This window comes from Homo sapiens, chromosome 3, assembly GCF_000001405.40.
Source record: "Homo sapiens chromosome 3, GRCh38.p14 Primary Assembly".
Lineage (NCBI taxonomy): Eukaryota > Metazoa > Chordata > Mammalia > Primates > Hominidae > Homo > Homo sapiens.
The window spans coordinates 39,052,699-39,069,950 of NC_000003.12; the positions used below are offsets into that span (position 1 = coordinate 39,052,699).

Consider the following 17,252-nt stretch of genomic DNA (forward strand, 5'->3'; position numbering starts at 1 on the left):
CATCGCTGAATCTGTCTTTATTGTTTGTGTAATTTATTGTCCATGTGGTAAAGAGTTGTCTAATCTTACCGTGTGTGTCTTGTGCCTTATGCCTTTGTGAATTCACTTTTGTTTGCGGTTACGCTTAAGAGTTACTGCCACTTCGGGGAACATCACACACCGGGGCCTGTCGGGGGCTGGGGGCGCTAGGGGAGGGATAGCATTAGGAGAAATACCTAATGTAAATGACGAGTTGATGGGTACAGCAAACCAGCATGGCACACGTATACCTATGTAACAAACCTGCACGTTGTGCACATATATCCTAGAACTTAAAGTATAATAATAATATTAAAAAATAGTTATTGCCACTTAATATTTTCAGTGATGCAGGGAATAAAAGCCCTCTTACAGGTGTTTGCCTGCAGGTATATTGTATGTGGTAGTGGCAGTTTGGTGCATTTATTCATTAAACATTTACCTAGCACTTAGGGTGGCCCCCAAAGGGGAAAAGGGATTGAAAGGGTGTAGAAATAATTAACACCTAGGCTTTCTTTATAAAACACAGCATTATATGGAGTTCTGCGGGTTGAAATCAAGTGTCAGATAAAGGTAGTTAGATGAAGGGGTCCTTCAGTAAGGTAATCCCAGCAGAAGGTGGTAGGCCATAAAGTCTTCTGATTAGTTCACATCTTGGTTTTATTGATCTCACTGATCAGTACAGTGTCTTAAGCACTCACTGGATGTTTGTTGAAATGAGTGAAATTAATAAGTCTAAACTCACCCTATTAGGTGTTTTTCAGTGCATTAGTGATAGGATTTAAGTATCACCAGCATCCAAGGCAGGTAGTGAGAATGTCTCCTTGGGACTGAAATATAACTCAAAAAGTAACCCGATTGTATTATAGACTCTATGGTGGTGTACATCTTAGGAGAGTAAGGGTAGTTAATCAGGCCTTTCAGTTTATTGCATTAAGACTTAAAACTCCTATTACTGCAGTGTGTTCCCTGCTTGCTTCCTTCCCAGGCCTGCCCACTCCCAAAATGCATGCAATAAAGTATATATATTTTAAAAAGACTTACAAGGCAATTGTACTAGTATGGGATGGAGAAAATGTAAATTAACTGCAGCAGGTTTGGAAAAACAGTGTTCCAATAGGCTGAATGTGAGCCAGTGCACGTAGAATGAGGCAGGTGATAGATAATTCCACTTTTCACTGGTCAAAGTACAAAATTAGAGTTTGGTGTTCAGCACTTAGGACCTTGTTCTTCATAGGTAGCAATCAGATTGGTGAACTGACTTGAAATTATTTCCTATGAAGAACTTTTGAAAGAGCTGTCTTAGATTAACCTGCTGAAGAGAAGATTCAGGGAACTTTCGGAATTTGTCCCTAAGGTATAGAAGCAGCCTGAGAAGCCACAGGGATTGATTTCATCTGAACCATCATTGTCTATGAGGTGTTTTTTAAACTAATGCGTGTTCATTGTAAAAATCCCAACAAACAAAAACATAAATTAGAGTTGCCCTCCATGCTTCCAAGAAAGCTACTGCGGGCAATGTCATGTTTTAATCCTAGACCAGAGTTTATCAACCTGAACATTCTTGAAATTTCATCTGGATAATTCTTCGCTGTGTCTGAGGGAGGGAGCTGTCCTATGCATCACAGGTTCTTTGGCATCATCCCTGGCTTCTACCAACTAGATGTAGTAGCATCTCCCCAGTTGTGACAACTAAAAATGTCTCCAGACATTTTCAAATGTCCCCTCAAGGGCAAAATTGCCGCTGGTTGAGAACCGCTGTTCTATACCTCTTGCTGTTTGTGTACCTGACTTAACATATTTTTTTGCTATAAATGGAGCCATAGTATTCACTGTTTTGTGTCTTGCTTTGTCAAATTTTTAAATAAACATTCCCTTTAGCCCAGAATTCCTTATCTAAAAATATATTCTACAAAATTGCATATGCATGTATCTGTCCCTACTTATGCAAGGGTGTTGTGTGAAGCCATTCTTGAATTGCTATAAAGAAATACCTGAGACTGGCTCATTTATAAAGAAAAGAGGCATAATTGGCTCATAGTTCTGCAGGCTTTACAGGAAATATGGTGCTAGGATCTGCTCGTCTTCCAGGGAGGCCTCAAAGAGAGAGAGAGTCAAAAAAGCAAGTCAACATGGCATATTCCCATTTCCACAAAGGAAATATGCATTTTAAAAGTCAGGAAGGGTAATAGCAGTGATTATCCCTTTGGGAATAGATTGTGTGATTATAGATAAGACAGGACATGGGATATCTTTTAGTTTGAAATATGCACAACTTTGTATTTTTGAACTTTTTACCACATTATTTGCTCTTATACATCAAAAAGAAAACTTCTCATCTTGGAAAAAGCATACATGGGTACTTGGAGTAAATATACTTTGTCTCCTGACTGTCTCAGACCACGAGACAGTAGCCCTGAGCTCCTTGTCAAGTTGTAGGCCAAGACAAACCCTTGAGACTTAAAAATATTGCTAAATAATCAGTGGAGGCCAGGCGTGGTGGCTCATGCCTGTAATCCCAGCACTTTGGGAGGCCAAGGTGGGCAGATCACTTGAGGTCAGGAGTTCGAGACCAGCCTGGCCAACATGGCGAAATCCCGTCTCTACTAAAAATATAAAAATTGCCGGCATGGTGGCGCATGCCTGTAATCCCAGGTACTTGGGAGGCTGAGACAGGGGAATCGCTTGAACCCAGGAGGCGGAGGTTGCAGTGGGCCGAGATTGTACCAGTGCACTCCAGCCTGGGTGACAGAGCGAGACTCCATCTCAAAAATAAAATAAAATGATACTTAAAATCAGTGGAGAGGGGTCCAAACATACTGCATATTAATTGTAGACATAATTTTAAATGAGTCCATGTCCTACCATCTTCAACTTCTAGGAAAACTAGAGATACGAGGGAAGAGGGATGGATTTGTGACTGTCAGAAACATAATCAAATATGTGAATTCAGATACATGATGTAGCATTTTCTCTGGTAACCAGGATATCAAAGCAAGTCTTTTCCATCCTTAGCAGTCCCTTGGTGGTATGATTTTCCAGCAACCTGAGTCTGTTGATTGGCTCTCTGTGCCTCCATTTTTCCTCCTGTTATGGCCTCTTCCTTCAGTGCTTCACAGTGCTTGGGGAAAAAAAATACTTCGCTTAACTTGCTGCCACTTCTAGTTAAGCTCTTTCCCCAGCTAAATGCCAAGAGGACTTTTGTGCTCACTACCGTATCCTCAGCATTTAGAATAGTGCCAGGCAACAAGTGGGTGCCTAGTTAATATTCGTTGAAAGAATTAAATCCATTTTCCTCTATTTTTCTATAGCCAGACATTTTAAATTTTTTCTCTGTACTTTAATGGATGCAGATAACAAGTTTTTAAGGTGACATGTCTTGAAACATATCAGCATATATAGTTTTCGTTCTTTAATGACCACATAGAATGGATGTACCATAATTTGTCTAGCCATTTCCTTATTGAAGATATTGCTTTGATTTTTTTTCCATCATACTATAATTTGCTTTGAAAAAACCTCCAGTTATAAAATAGTAAAGGAAGTGTTACAAAAATAAATGAAAGGACAAAGATAGATAATACAGAATGCATAAAAGATGAGGGATCAGTTTGAAAGTTCCAGTATCTGACTCATTTGAGTTCAAGAAAGAGCAAAGAAAACAGAGATGATGATTAATAATGGATACAAGAAAATTTCCCGGAGCTTAAGTGCCGCAAATTTCTAGATCGAAGGGGCTTTCTAAATGCACAGAAAAACTAATGATAGAAAAAACAAACAAGAAATGTCACAACACCAAGGAAAAAGAGAAAATCCTGAAAGCTTAGGGAAGGAGATGACGAGGGAGTGGAGGAAAGAATGAAAATAGGATCCCTTTAAAGCTGTATGAAACAGAATGGCATTGAAATCAGTGGCAACATTGGATGCTAGAGGAACTTACAGCAATGCTTTCAAGAGCTGAGAGAATTGCTAAATCAAGTGTAAATGTGGAGGAAAGACCTTTTCAGGCATGCAAGGACTAAGTTGCCAACCCATGTGCCTTTTCTTATATTACTTTCTTAAGGTATTGGGGATGTATTTCAGCAAAACTATGGAGTGAACAAAGAAAGAAGGAGGCATTAGAATTCAGGAAACAATGGCTGTAACCCAGAAAAGCAGTAAAGGAAAACACCAAAGGTGACAGCTGTGCCAGCAGATCTAGAGGGCAGTCAGCCTAGATTGTAATGAGAAGAAGGAGGGTTTGGAGGGGGAAGCCTTCTGAGAAAATAAAGGGGTGGGGGTGAGTTCTGTGGTACAGCAATTAAAATTGAAATTAAAGTGGAGAAAACCATTGAAGAAGGAAAAATTAAAACTCTAGGGAAAACAAAAAGCTCTTTGAGGAAGGAAATGTATTCATAATATAGTACTTAGTAGATAGCCTTACAGTCACAACAATATAGCACGGATTATTTGTTCAATTAAAAATAGGGATGTATCTATATTAGAAGAGTAGAGGGAGGAGATATTGAGGGTAGTTTCAGAACTACATCCTAATCTACAGTAGCATGAGTAAATCGATAATGTCTAAAATGGATGAGCCAAAAAGTTATAGGATAAGCACAATATTTAGAGAAATGCAGTTAACTATCCAGTAGCAACAACTGAGTTGCAATTAGTTACCTTTAGGGATGAAGACTAGGTGTGGGAGTCTTATCCAGACAGTAGAGAGACTGTTTTTCATTACAGTCATTACTATTTGATTTTCTAAATACAAGCAGGAATTACTTGGATAACAAATGATCAAATTTTAAAAACTAAGTAATACATGTTGTTTGTAAAACATTCAGAACACATGAAAGAGACATGAATGAGTGAAAAATCACCATAATCCCATCATTCAGAAATAACTGCTGGTTATTTTATTTTATTTTTATTTTTATTTTTTTGAGACATTGTCTCACTCTGTCTTAAGGCTGGAGTGCAGTGGCACCGTCATGGCTCACTGCAACCTCTGCTTCCTGGGTTCAAGTGATTCTCCTGCCTCAGCCTCCTGACTAGCTGGGACTACAGGTGCGCACCACCACACCCGTCTAATTTTTGTATTTTTAGTAGAGACGGGGTTTCACCATGTTGGCCAGGATGGTCTTGATCTCCTGACCTCGTGATCTGCCCGCCTTGGCCTCCCAAAGCTGGGATTACAGGCATGAGCCACTGCGCCTGGCCCCTGGTTATTTTTATATATGTATAGTCTTCAAAACTTGTGTATTTGTTCTGAAATATTTAATATTTTGAAACATTTTTATAATAATGACTATTGTACATTGTTGTGTTGGACCACACATATTTCACTAAAAATATATCATGGCTTTCCGCCCATGTTTATCAGTCTAGACCTCCATCAACTCTTTCTTATTCTTTAGAAACAGGGCTCTCATGCTGTTGCCCAGGTTGTAGTACAGTGGTGCCATCATAGCTCACTGCAGCCTCAAGCTCCTGGGCTCAAGCAGTCTTCCCACCTCAGCCTCCTAAAGCACAGAGATTACAGGCATGAGCCACCACACCTGGCCTACATCAACATTTTAAGTGATTGAATAGTGTTGTGTTTTACAGATGTGCGTGCTAGAATTTATCCAACTAGGATACTTCTAATTCTTTTGCATTTTAAAGCACACGTCTTTAGGAAATACCGTTGAAGAGGTTGGCCCAGACTGGTTTTAACAGTAATTACTTTCCACCTAGAATGAGAATTCTGACATTCAGGTTATTCTTTCACTCTTGCCTTAACCAGTCAGATAATCTCCCAGAAGTCTGGATATCAAGATTTAGATATGCTGCACAGTCTCAGTTAAAGGAAATGTGAGCTAGGTAAGCAGCCCTGGAACCCCAGAGAAAGAGAGATTGAGAGAGGCTGAAGTTGACATTGAAGCTAGCTTGGTTCCTGGTGGCTTTGGAAAGCCAATTCATGCAATGATACGTATGTCTTTTATATGCCAGACACTATAATGGGGGCACAGGGGTGGAAGGAACAAGGCAGACAAGTCCCTTGCCTTCTTGGAGCTATTATTCTAATGGAGAAGATACACCAAAAAATATAAATGTGGCTGGGCGCGGTGGCTCACACCTGTAATCCCAGCATTTTGGGAGGCCAAGGTGGGTGGATCAGAAGGTCAGGAGTTTAAGACCAGCCTGGCCAAGATGGCGAAACCCTGTCTCTACTAAAAATACAAAAATTAGCTGGGCGCCATAGCAGGCACCTGTAATCTAAGCTACTCGGGAGCCTGAGTTGGGAGAATTGCTTGAACCTGGGCAGCAGAGGTTGCAGTGAGCCAAGATCGCACCACTGCACTCCAGCCTGGGCGATACAGTGAGACTCCGTCTCAAAAAAAAAAAAAAAAAAAAAATACAGAATGTGGTAAGAACTGTTAAATAAGTAATGTAAGATAGATAGGGTCATAACCCTGAGGAGAATGAGATCAGAAAGGCCTTTCCAAGGAGACCTTTCTCCTAAGATCTGAAGAGTAAGGGTGAGTTAGACAAGATGAAAGCTGGAGAAAGAGTATTCCTATAGGGATTCGAGGGGTGGTGAATCTTCATGACACTGGCAACAGTAAATGAGAAGGTACTGGGATGGGAAAGAGCTTGATGTGTTTACGGTAACAGAAAGGAGTTTGGAATGACTGTCATAAAAGAAGCTGGGGGCAGTCAGTTTGAAATGAGTGGGGGATGCAGGGTCAGAACTAAGCATTTGAGGAGTTTGAACTTTAAATTTTGTGAAAAGCCATTGGAAAGTTTCAGCAGAGAAGTGTCATGATTTGATTTTTTAAATGCCTCTTATAAATGATGACTGTATTTCCTGACCTTGGGCTCTGTTAAGATATCCTTGTGTTGAAGTCTCCTTTAAAAAACAAACAAACAAACAAAAGCTGGTTTGAGTAGATCTCAGTTACAGTTAATTGCATCCAAAAGACTGGGTTAAAACAACATCCTTGTAGCTATTTGTGTCTGCAGCCCTGGCCCTTTTTAAAGGACAAATTTCTGGAAATTGAATTTTAAAGAACATTTCAAAGAGTTTAAAACTTTTGTCAGAAAGTGTTTATTTATCCTCAGGGGAAACAAAAATGGCAGTTATTTTAAAAAATTCTTGTATTATAGGTAAAATAATCTCATATTAATTTTGTCTTTGATTATTTATGGGGTTTTTGGCCATTTCTTTTTTAAAAAGTCCCTTTTTGTAACTGTCCCTCTTTCTGTTGGTAAATTTGACTTTTTCTTATTTTATAAGGAATCTTGTTAAGAGTAAACTTTCTTTCATATTTATTTCATTATTCTCTTAGTCTTGCTCGTGTTACTTTTTGACATTCAGAAGGTTTAAGAAAATAATAACATTGTGATAAAATTCACATACCATAAAGTGCACCCTTTCAAAGTGTACAATTCAGTGATTTTTTTGTATATTCGGAAAGTTGTTTATTGGTCACCTAACTCCAGAATGTTTAATTACTCTATGTTCATTAGCAATTACTCCCCGTTTTTCATTTTTCCCTCCTTCAATCTCCTGGCAATTACTAATCTACTTTCTGTGTGGATTTGTCTATCCTAGACATTATATATAAATAGAGTCATAAAATATGTGGCCTTTTGTAAAATATGTGGCTTCTTTCACTTAGCACATTTTCAAGGTTCATCCACGTTATAGCATGTGTCAGTACAGTGTGTGTGTGTGCATATATATATATATATATGCACACACACACATCACATTTTATTTGTTTTGTCCATTGATGGATATTTGGGTTGTTTCCACTTTTGTAACATTATTGTGAATGCCACAATGCTGTGAACATTCTTGTACATAGAAAAGGTTTTGACTTGTATTTGGCCAGATCACCATTGCTCTTTTCCTTCGTAAAGATTACCATCTTTCTTGGCATGTTGGAAGAGTTTTCTCTGGCAAGGGACTATGTAAATATTCACCTGTCTTTTAAAAATTATTTTTATGCTGGCCAGGTGCAGTGGCTCACGCCTGTAATCCCAGCACTTTGGGAGGCTGAGGCGGGTGGACCACTTGAAACCCAGCCTGGCCAACATGGTGAAACCACCATCTCTACTAAAAATGCAAAAATCAGCTGGGCACAGTGGCATATGCCTGTAATCCCAGCTACTCAGGAGGCTGAGGCACGAGAATTGCTTGAACCTGGGAGGTAGAGGATGTAGTAAGCCAAGATCGGGCCACTGCTTTCCAGCCTGGGTGACAGAGCAAGATTCTCTCAAAAAATAAAAACAAAAATTATTTTTATGGTTATTAAATTTCAGTCTTTAATTCATAGAAAAATTCGTTTTTGGTTTAAGATGTGGAGAAAGGGTATAATTGTTCCTAATAGAATCACTATAGGTACTTGAGATAATTTTTTTTAATTATTATACTTCAAGTTCTAGGGTACATGTGCACAACGTGCAGGTTTGTTACATAAGTATACATGTGCCATGTTGGTTTGTTGCACCCATCAACTTGTTATTTACATTAGGTATTTCTCCTAATGCTATCCCTCCCCCAGCCCCCTACCCCCCAACATGCCCCAGTGTGTGATGTTCCCTGCCCTGTGTCCATGTGTTCTCATTGTTCAGCTCCCACTTACGAGTGAGAACATGTGGTGTTTGGTTTTCTGTCCTTGTGATAGTTTGCTGAGAATGATGGTTTCTGGCTTCATCCATGTCCCTGCAAAGGACATGAACTCATCCTTTTTTATGGCTGCATAGTATTCCATGGTGTATATGTGCCACATTTTCTTAATTCAGTCTATCATTGATGGACATTTGGGTTGGTTCCAAGTCTTTGCTATTGTGAATAGTGCTGCAATAAACATACGTGGGCATGTTTCTTTATAGTAGAATGATTTATAATCCTTTGGGTATATACTCAGTAATGGGATGGCCGGGTCAAATGGTATTTCTAGTTGTAGATTCTTGAGGAATCGCCACACTGTCTTCCACAGTGGTTGAACTACTTTACACTCCCACCAACAGTGTAAAAGCATTCCTATTTCTCCACATCCTCTCCAGCATCTGTTGTTTCCTGACTTTTTAATGACTGCCACTCTAACTGGCATGAGATGGTATCTCATTGTGGTTTTGATTTGCATTTCTCTGATGGCCAGTGATGATGAGCATTTTTTCTTGTGTCTGCTGCAGAAATGTCTTCTTTTGAGAAGTGTCTGTTCATATCCTTTGCCCACTTTTTGATGGGGTTGTTTTTGTTGTTGTTGTTGTTGTACATTTGTTTAAGTTCTTTGTAGATTCTGTATATTAGCCCTTTGTCAGATGGGTAGATTGCAAAAATTTTCTCCCATTCTGTAGGTTGCCTGTTCACTCTGATGATAGTTTCTTTTGCTGTGCATAAGCTCTTTAGTTTAATTAGATCTCATTTGTCAATTTTGGCTTTTGTTGCCATTGCTTTTGGTGTTTTAGTCATGAAGTCTTTGCCCATGCCTGTGTCCTGAATTGTATTGCCTAGGTTTTCTTCTAGGGTTTTTATGGTTTTAAGTCTTAACATTTAAGTCTTTAGTCCATCTTGAGTTAATTTTTAACTGTTTATTTCATTACATTAGAAAGTTTTACTTCTGGCTGCCAGCCAGCTTATTGACTTTTTCTTAGGTGTAATTGTTTTCAGTTGATCCCCTGTTTTCACAAGGAACAGACAGAGGTCACCAACAGTAACAAAGTAGGGGAAAATGCCCTGAAGAAAAAGTTTAGTATGTGATAGGAGCTCAAAACCTCATTTTGCTTGGCAAGTCAGGGAAGGCCTTCTAAAGGAAGTATTGTTTAAATGGAAACCTGAAGGCTGCAACAAGAGTTAGCCAGACAGGTCGGAGGAAGAGCTTCCAAACAGAGAGGACCAGCATGTGTGATGGTCTGGAGGCACAATGCACCAGAACCTGGAGCAGAGATGAGTGGCCAGAAAGACAAACAGGGTACTTGAGACCATGTTAAGGAATTTACATCCAATCATGAGTCTAGTAGTCAGCAACTGGAGGTTTTTGAGCAGAGCTGAGATAGATTTTTAAATAATTACTCTAGCTGCTTTGTGAAAAATGGACTAAAGACTGGGAAAGGAGTCCAGTCAGGAAGCAGTTATAGTAGTTTAGCAACTTACTCATGTTGGACTAGGCTATCATTGATACCATCCTTCTCTTCAGCCCTTTAGTCTTTAAGGAGTAAAATTTAAATTTGTATTGGGTTGAAAAAGTACATATTGGAAAACATGGGATTTTCTGTTTCAGATTGGCCACTAGTAGACTATATTTTATTACTGCATGGCTTGTACTTTATAAAAAGCATATGTTGACACATTTGTCAGGTTTCCTATGTTATTCGAGATGAAGTGGAGAAGTACAACCGAAATGGAGTCAATGCTCTGCAGCTGGATCCAGCACTAAATAGACTTTTCACAGCCGGTCGAGACTCTATCATAAGAATATGGAGTGTCAATCAGCACAAGGTAATGCAGGGATTAAAATCTGTACCCAGCAAATTCTGGACAAATGGCTTTTACTGTCTAATATGACACTTTTCACAGTTTCAGATTTAATCTCTCTGAATGCTGAGTTATTTGGTACACTCTATAAAGACATCGCAACCAGAATTCTGTAAGCCTCTGAGAAAAACCATCCCTAGGAAAGTTTCAGAAGTGTTTCAGCTAAGACAAGGACTCCCTAAACTAGGTTTGCCTTACAGAGTTCTTTGCCACAAAGGAACAAAGTGATTTGGCTAGTAGGGGGATTACTTTCAACAATTAATTTTTTTGCTTTAAATATGTTCCCCAACAACCTCTTGGTAACCTTACTAAAAAAAGATTGAATATTCTTTTACATTTCTAATTAATCTTGAAAAAATATTTTATTTTCCTCACTTAAAAGTAATTAGGATCCTCACAAACCCCACACGGCCTAACTAGGTAATACAAGGTTAGGCTGAGCATGGTGGCCCACACCTGCAATCCCAACAATTTCGGAGGCCAAAGTGAAAGGATTCCTTGAGTCCAGGAGTTCGAGACCAGCCTGGGCAATGTGACAATACCCTGTCTCTGCAAAAAAAAAAACTTAAAAATTAGCTGGGCATGGTGGCACACACCTGTAGTCCCAGCTACTCGGGGAGCTGAGGTGGGAGGATCACTTGATTGAGTATGGGAGGTTGAGGCTGAGTGAGCCGTGATCACACCACTGCATTCCAGCTTGGGCAACAGAGGGAGACCTTGTCTCAAATAAATAAATAAAGATAATATAAAATTGGTGTTAAAACTATGAAGACAACATGCTCCCCTTCAAAGATTTCCCTTTCTTAAGCAGGGAACAGGGTTTAAATATGTGTAAAGATAAATCCCCAGGCAAATGGTAACGAGCCCTTTTAGTATTTTGTTGGAACACCTATATTGTGAATGACAGAGAAAAGAAGAATCAGGGAAGAAAAAAAGAGCATTTATTGATCTTCTAATTATGTGCCATACGCTCTTTGCATTTTCATATCCAATGTGATTTTAATTTTCAGTGTCCCTCAAGGTACCTATTAGGATCCATTTTCTTTTTTTTCTTTTTTTTTTTTTGAGATGGAGTCTCGCTCTGTCACCCAGGCTGGAGTGCAGTGGCGCGATCTTGGCTCACTGCAACCTCTTGACTCCTGGCTTCAATCAATTTTCCTGCCTCAGCCTCCTCAGCAGCTGGGACTACAGGCACACGCCACCACATCCAGCTAATTTTTATAATTTTAGTAGAGACGGGGTTTCACCATGTGGGTCAGGCTGGTCTCAAACTTCTAGACTCAGATAATCCAACTGCCTTGGCCTCCCAAAGTGCTGGTATTACAGGCGTGAGCCACCGCGCCTGGCCAGATCCATTTTCATAGATGAGAAAATGGGCTCAGAGAAACCCATGGTTATGTGGCTAGGAAGTGACAGAGAATTAGTACCCAGCCCAACTTGAAAACCCTAGTGCTAGACCTTGTATTTTTAAAAGTTTGTGTCTTTTTAGCAAGTTTTACAAGTCTGATATTCAGTTCAGAAAAAGAACCACTACTTTATGCGCCTATAACTTCAGTCTGGCAGGCTTTGAATTCTTTAGCCAATGGACCATGCAGTGGTGGCCAAATGTCAAAAGCATGAAAAGTAAGAAAACTATGTTTGGCTTTGAAATGCTTTTTGGTACTTATAATTGAATTGGAATGTCTCCTTTCTGAGCATTCACAGTATTTCAAACAAATTAAGAAAAACACCCAAAAGAACTAACCTGAAGAATCTGGAAATCTGCCTGTCTTGCCCCAAACATCTTTTTTCTGGTCTTCCTTTTATGACAAGATTGAATAGCATTATTTGTCAAACAGACTTGTACAGAGCTGTTCTGTTTGCCCATAAAGTGTCTCAAACTTGCCTGTTTTAGGTGTAGGATGTAACTAAATACTGTTCTTTAAAAGGCCTCTCCTGGTTATTAAGCCAGGTAAGAGAAGTAGAATCTCGAATCACCTAATTGAAATGGTGACACAGGTTGTCCTTTCTCAGCCGTTGGGTTTCCTTTCATCTCTGAAGGCCTGTAGGTACCATGAGGAAAACATTTAATTCAGAGGGTGAACCCAACAGTAGGAAGCTGAAAGCAGAAGTGTTTATCTCCCTCTGCATTCAGACCAGGCTCCTTAGTGCACTCATCAGACTCATTGCTGCCCCTGCTGTCTGCTGTTGAGCCTTCACCACCACTCATTCAAATCCCCACAGCCTACAGATTCCTACAAGTCATGTCCTTTCTAGTGAACCCTTTTTAAAGGGTTTTATGTCACACACAGTGCCTAGTCCAGAGCTTGTTGCCTTCACTTTAACAAGGCAAAAAAAAAAAAAATGAAGTATTTGTCCTGGAAACCTAAGCTTTCAGTAAGAGTAAAACTGTCCTGAAACAAAACTGTTTACATCTGTTATCTGGAAGCATCACCTATTTGGTGAGATTCTACTCAGAATTCAGGTGTTAGTTTTAATGCCTAGAGCAGTATGTCACATTAATTGAAGAATTTAACCATATCTATCATTTGTAATATATTTCATTCTCTCATATAAACTCTTAGGATTTTTCTTTTAATTTCAGCAAGATCCATATATAGCATCTATGGAACACCATACTGATTGGGTAAACGACATTGTACTCTGTTGTAATGGGAAAACATGTAAGTATTTCTTTGGATTATTATTGGGCTTCTGATATATTTTTTGTTTTTTATATAAGCTTTTTTATTGAAACATACATACAGAAAAGTACACACACTTCGAGATTGCAGTTCAACACAATTTTAGAAAGTGAATACCCAAATCAAGAAACAATATTACTAGAAGCCCTCTTGTGCCACCCTTTGCCACCCTTTCAGTTATTCCCTCTTGCCCCAAGGTAACTGCTCTTCTGTCTTCTGAACACCAAAGGGTAGTTTTGCCTTCATTTGAACTGTATATAGACTCGTACTATATGTATTCTTCTTTTAGCCTTATTAATACCTCTTTTTGTTCTAATTTTGGTGAGATCCATTCCTTGGTTTTGCAGTCCGAGTTACAGGAATTTTTCTCAATCACATTAGTTGAGCCTTCAACTGGAACATTAAAAATGTTTGCACTGCTTGTTTTAAAAATATATTTTTTTCTTTGAACATGTGTCTTGAGATTTTAAAAAATTGAGGCAATATACAATAGGTTCTAGAAAGAGCTTTTAGGTATGTTTGTGTGTGTAAGAGAGAGAATATGTTAGTTTGAAATAATGTTACATTGTTGTAAGATAAGTTTTCAAAGTTTTAAGTCATACTACTAAGGAGTTTGTTAATTCTTTGCTTCTTCTAGTAATATCTGCTTCTTCTGACACGACAGTAAAAGTATGGAATGCACACAAGGGATTTTGCATGTCAACATTAAGGACACATAAGGTAAAACAATACAGTTCTCAGTGTCTTTAGTGTAATATTGGGATCTCAGTACTTTGTGTGGCTCATTTTATTACTGATCTACAGAATAGATCATAGTATGTCTGTTCTATTACAGGATTACGTAAAGGCCTTAGCATATGCCAAGGATAAAGAACTAGTAGCATCAGCTGGGTTGGACAGACAAATATTCCTTTGGGATGTGAATACTCTAACAGCATTGACTGCCTCAAATAACACTGTCACAAGTAAGGTGTTTAAAAGAAACTTCTTTGAAAGTGATCCAAGTTAACATAAATAAAGAATGGTTTATAAAACATTTTTGATAGGTTTGCATCGAGAGAGTGTTTCATATTTTGAGAGTGCTTCTACCTACAGCGTTCTGGCCCCCAAGAGTATGATTGAACAACAAAGAGCTAGTTCCTCACTGCAGTCTAAAAATGGTAACTTCTCCAGGTATAACCTGGTTATTTTTTGTACGTGTGCATGTCTTAGCTCCCTAGCTAAAATGTAAGTCCCTGCAGGGTAGAGGAGACTGTCTTACTACTTCGTATCTCCCACAGCATTCCCTGGTCCAAATCCATACACTCAGCAGGTATTATTGAAGGAGGTGGCGATTTTCTGACAAAGTAGGCGGTTTTCTGACTTTTTAAAGTGTTAAGAGCTTTTGAGTTAATAGCCAAGATGAAAAATACCCAGGAGAAAGAAAGAAAAGGTTTCCAGTGCCAGTTTATCAAATTTTCTGCCTTTTAGAGCAGCCCTGAGGAATCAAGCCAATTCCAGAAGAGCCAGAACGGTAGAGTGCTTCTAGAGGCAATCCAGAGATGTTCACAGCATGGATGATTCATCAGCTAAGAGATCTCAGACTACCAAGTCAGGCTCATACAAGTCTAGATTTGAAATTGAGCTTCATGCTTGGCCCAACCTAGTAGAGTCCTCTAGGCCAGGTTTCAGAAGGGACTGTTAGGAGCACATTTTTGGCTAGGCCTGACCTGGAAAGTCTACATTGAAGACATGGGCCTGCATTCTCTGGATCCCTACATTATAGGTCCATTTTATAACGACTCTGTGGAGTGTTCACATTGACATAGACAATACAGTTTTACTAATATAGCCTAGTATGTGCCAAGAAGGGTAAGTTGGGAGACTTGTGTTTATAATCTCTTGATTGTTGTTTTGCCTTGTTTTCCAGGAAATATGTGAAGGTCTCAACATTCTTTTTCCCTTGTTCTTGATTTTTCACCTGTACATTATCTCTGATTCATTAGCTGGTCCCTGTTGGGGCTGTCATGGTACATCATTAGGTTTTAAGTCTGGATGTAAGGCCTGCCTCAAAGAGACACTAATGGGAGGGAACAAAGCAAAAAAAAAAAAGCAGGTTGTCACAAGGTCAGGGCCCAGGCTTAGTGGATACAGATTCTGCTACATCTTGCTTAGAGTTGTTTAGAGAGGATATCACACTTTTTTTTAATACATAATAATAAAAATAATACTAATAATGGCTAACCTGTATTGAGTACTTGCTACAAGTAGACATTTTTCTAAACAGTACATGTAGTAACTCATTTACTCAACTTTTTAATATGTTTGTAAAATTGGGTTCATACTATATAGACAGTTTCATATACATCTTTTTTACTTCAGTGATACTGAGAGTATGAACATGATTTTTGCTATAGTCTGAATTCCTTCCTGAAAGGTTGTACCTATTTATCTTCACATAAGTAATATATGAGAGTTCCATTGTACTGTTTTCTTTTTACAATCAAGTATTACCTTGTTTTTTGTCTTGGTGTATGAAACAGTGTTTTTGGTTTGATTTGTGTTTGAAAAATACTGAAATTGAACATTTTTTCATATTTATGGCACATGAATAGCTTTAAACATATCATTTAAGCGGATAGCTTTTCAATGGCACTGCAGTTTATCAGATATTGAGCATTTGTATATATTCAAATCCAGAAAATATGTAAATTTTGATAATAATACTGTTTAGATTTATCTCCATTATAGGTAGATTTCTTTTCCGTAGAGGACTTATAAAGATAAGATTTTCTAAATTGAATAAACTTGCAGTTTTTGCTGACTAGTTACTAAACAGCTGATGATCTTGTTAACATTTAGCTCCGTTTATCCTCAATAGCTTCTTCTTTAAGTGGAAACAAAGATTCCATTTATAGCCTGGCCATGAATCAACTGGGAACAATCATTGTATCAGGGTCCACTGAAAAGGTAAGGAGGAGCTTATTTCTTTATTTAAAAAAAAAAATTATTTTTCACATACCTTGTCTCCTATTTTTTAAGCAGGTATTTTACGATTAGCTTCTTTATATTTATTTATTTAGAGACTGGGTCTCACTCTGTCACCCAGGTTGGGGTGCAGTGGCATCATGATCCTGGCTCACTGCAGCCTTGACTGCTGAGGCTGTAGCGATCCTTCCACCTCAATCTCCTGAGTAGCTGGGACCCCAGGCACACACCATCACGTGCATCAGGCCACTCCTTGTCCCATCTGGCTAATTTTTGTATATTTTTAATAGAGACAGGGTTTCGCCATGTTGTCCCTCCAACTCCTTAGTGCAAGCAATTCACCTGCCTTGGCCTCCCAGAGTGCTGAGATTACAGGCATGAGAGCCACTGTGCCCCAATCGGGGGAGCTTAAAGGGTGGTTTGAACATTAGAAAATAAAGAAACCAAAATAATTTAATCTGTGTAATTATTAAATATATGGACAGTGGTTTTGCCTAGTGGGTGCTAAACAAAAGGTTTTATTTGAATAAGTAAGAGTATAACTATAACTGTTGTGTGTATAGTGACAAGATAAAGAGGCTGTGCATTTTTGATGTTTGAAAGGCCTAATTCCCTGAGGTTGGGAGGCTTAGACAGTGTCCATTGGCAGAAGTGGTATTGCCTTCTCAGAATATAATGGTTATCATTTGACTTATGAGAGTTGTCTGTTATTTAAATTTGATACTGATATATTTAGTTTGTGTAATACTCTATTAAAATTCACAGGTGTTACGGGTATGGGATCCAAGAACATGTGCAAAACTAATGAAGCTTAAAGGGCACACGGATAATGTGAAGGCATTGCTATTAAACAGAGATGGCACGCAAGTATGCAGTTTCATTTGGGTGTTTACCTAATAACCTTGTTAGAAATTTCCGCACTTTGTATACTATTGCATAGGTTGATTTGAACCGAAAGCCACACTTATTATAAATTGTCTAATTAAAAAATTTTAAAATACTAAATTGCACATATAAGCTACATTTAAAAACTATTCTATTTGCATCACTTTTAACAAAACAAAGAATTTCCT

At 38.6% G+C, this 17,252-nt stretch overlaps 1 protein-coding gene across 11 annotated transcripts in view; it reads left to right on the forward strand.

Moving 5' to 3' along the window:
* The window catches only part of WDR48 (WD repeat domain 48), a 44,649-nt gene that overhangs the window by 683 nt on the left and 26,714 nt on the right, over positions 1–17,252 (forward strand). For 5 of the 11 annotated variants that reach the window (NR_144401.2, NR_144400.2, XM_005265346.5 and 2 more), the window contains exons 2-7: positions 10,352–10,492; positions 13,113–13,191; positions 13,850–13,932; positions 14,048–14,177; positions 16,073–16,161; positions 16,945–17,046. Coding sequence is in view for 8 of the 11 variants with exons in the window: in XM_005265346.5 (XP_005265403.1) it covers positions 10,352–10,492; positions 13,113–13,191; positions 13,850–13,932; positions 14,048–14,177; positions 16,073–16,161; positions 16,945–17,046 (624 nt within the window). In the remaining 3 variants the exon portion in view is untranslated. Of the gene's footprint in view, positions 1–10,351; positions 10,493–13,112; positions 13,192–13,849; positions 13,933–14,047; positions 14,178–14,258; positions 14,373–16,072; positions 16,162–16,944; positions 17,047–17,252 lie in introns of all 11 variants that reach the window. The other 6 variants (NR_144399.2, NM_001346227.2, NM_001346225.2 and 3 more) reach the window with 5 other exon arrangements.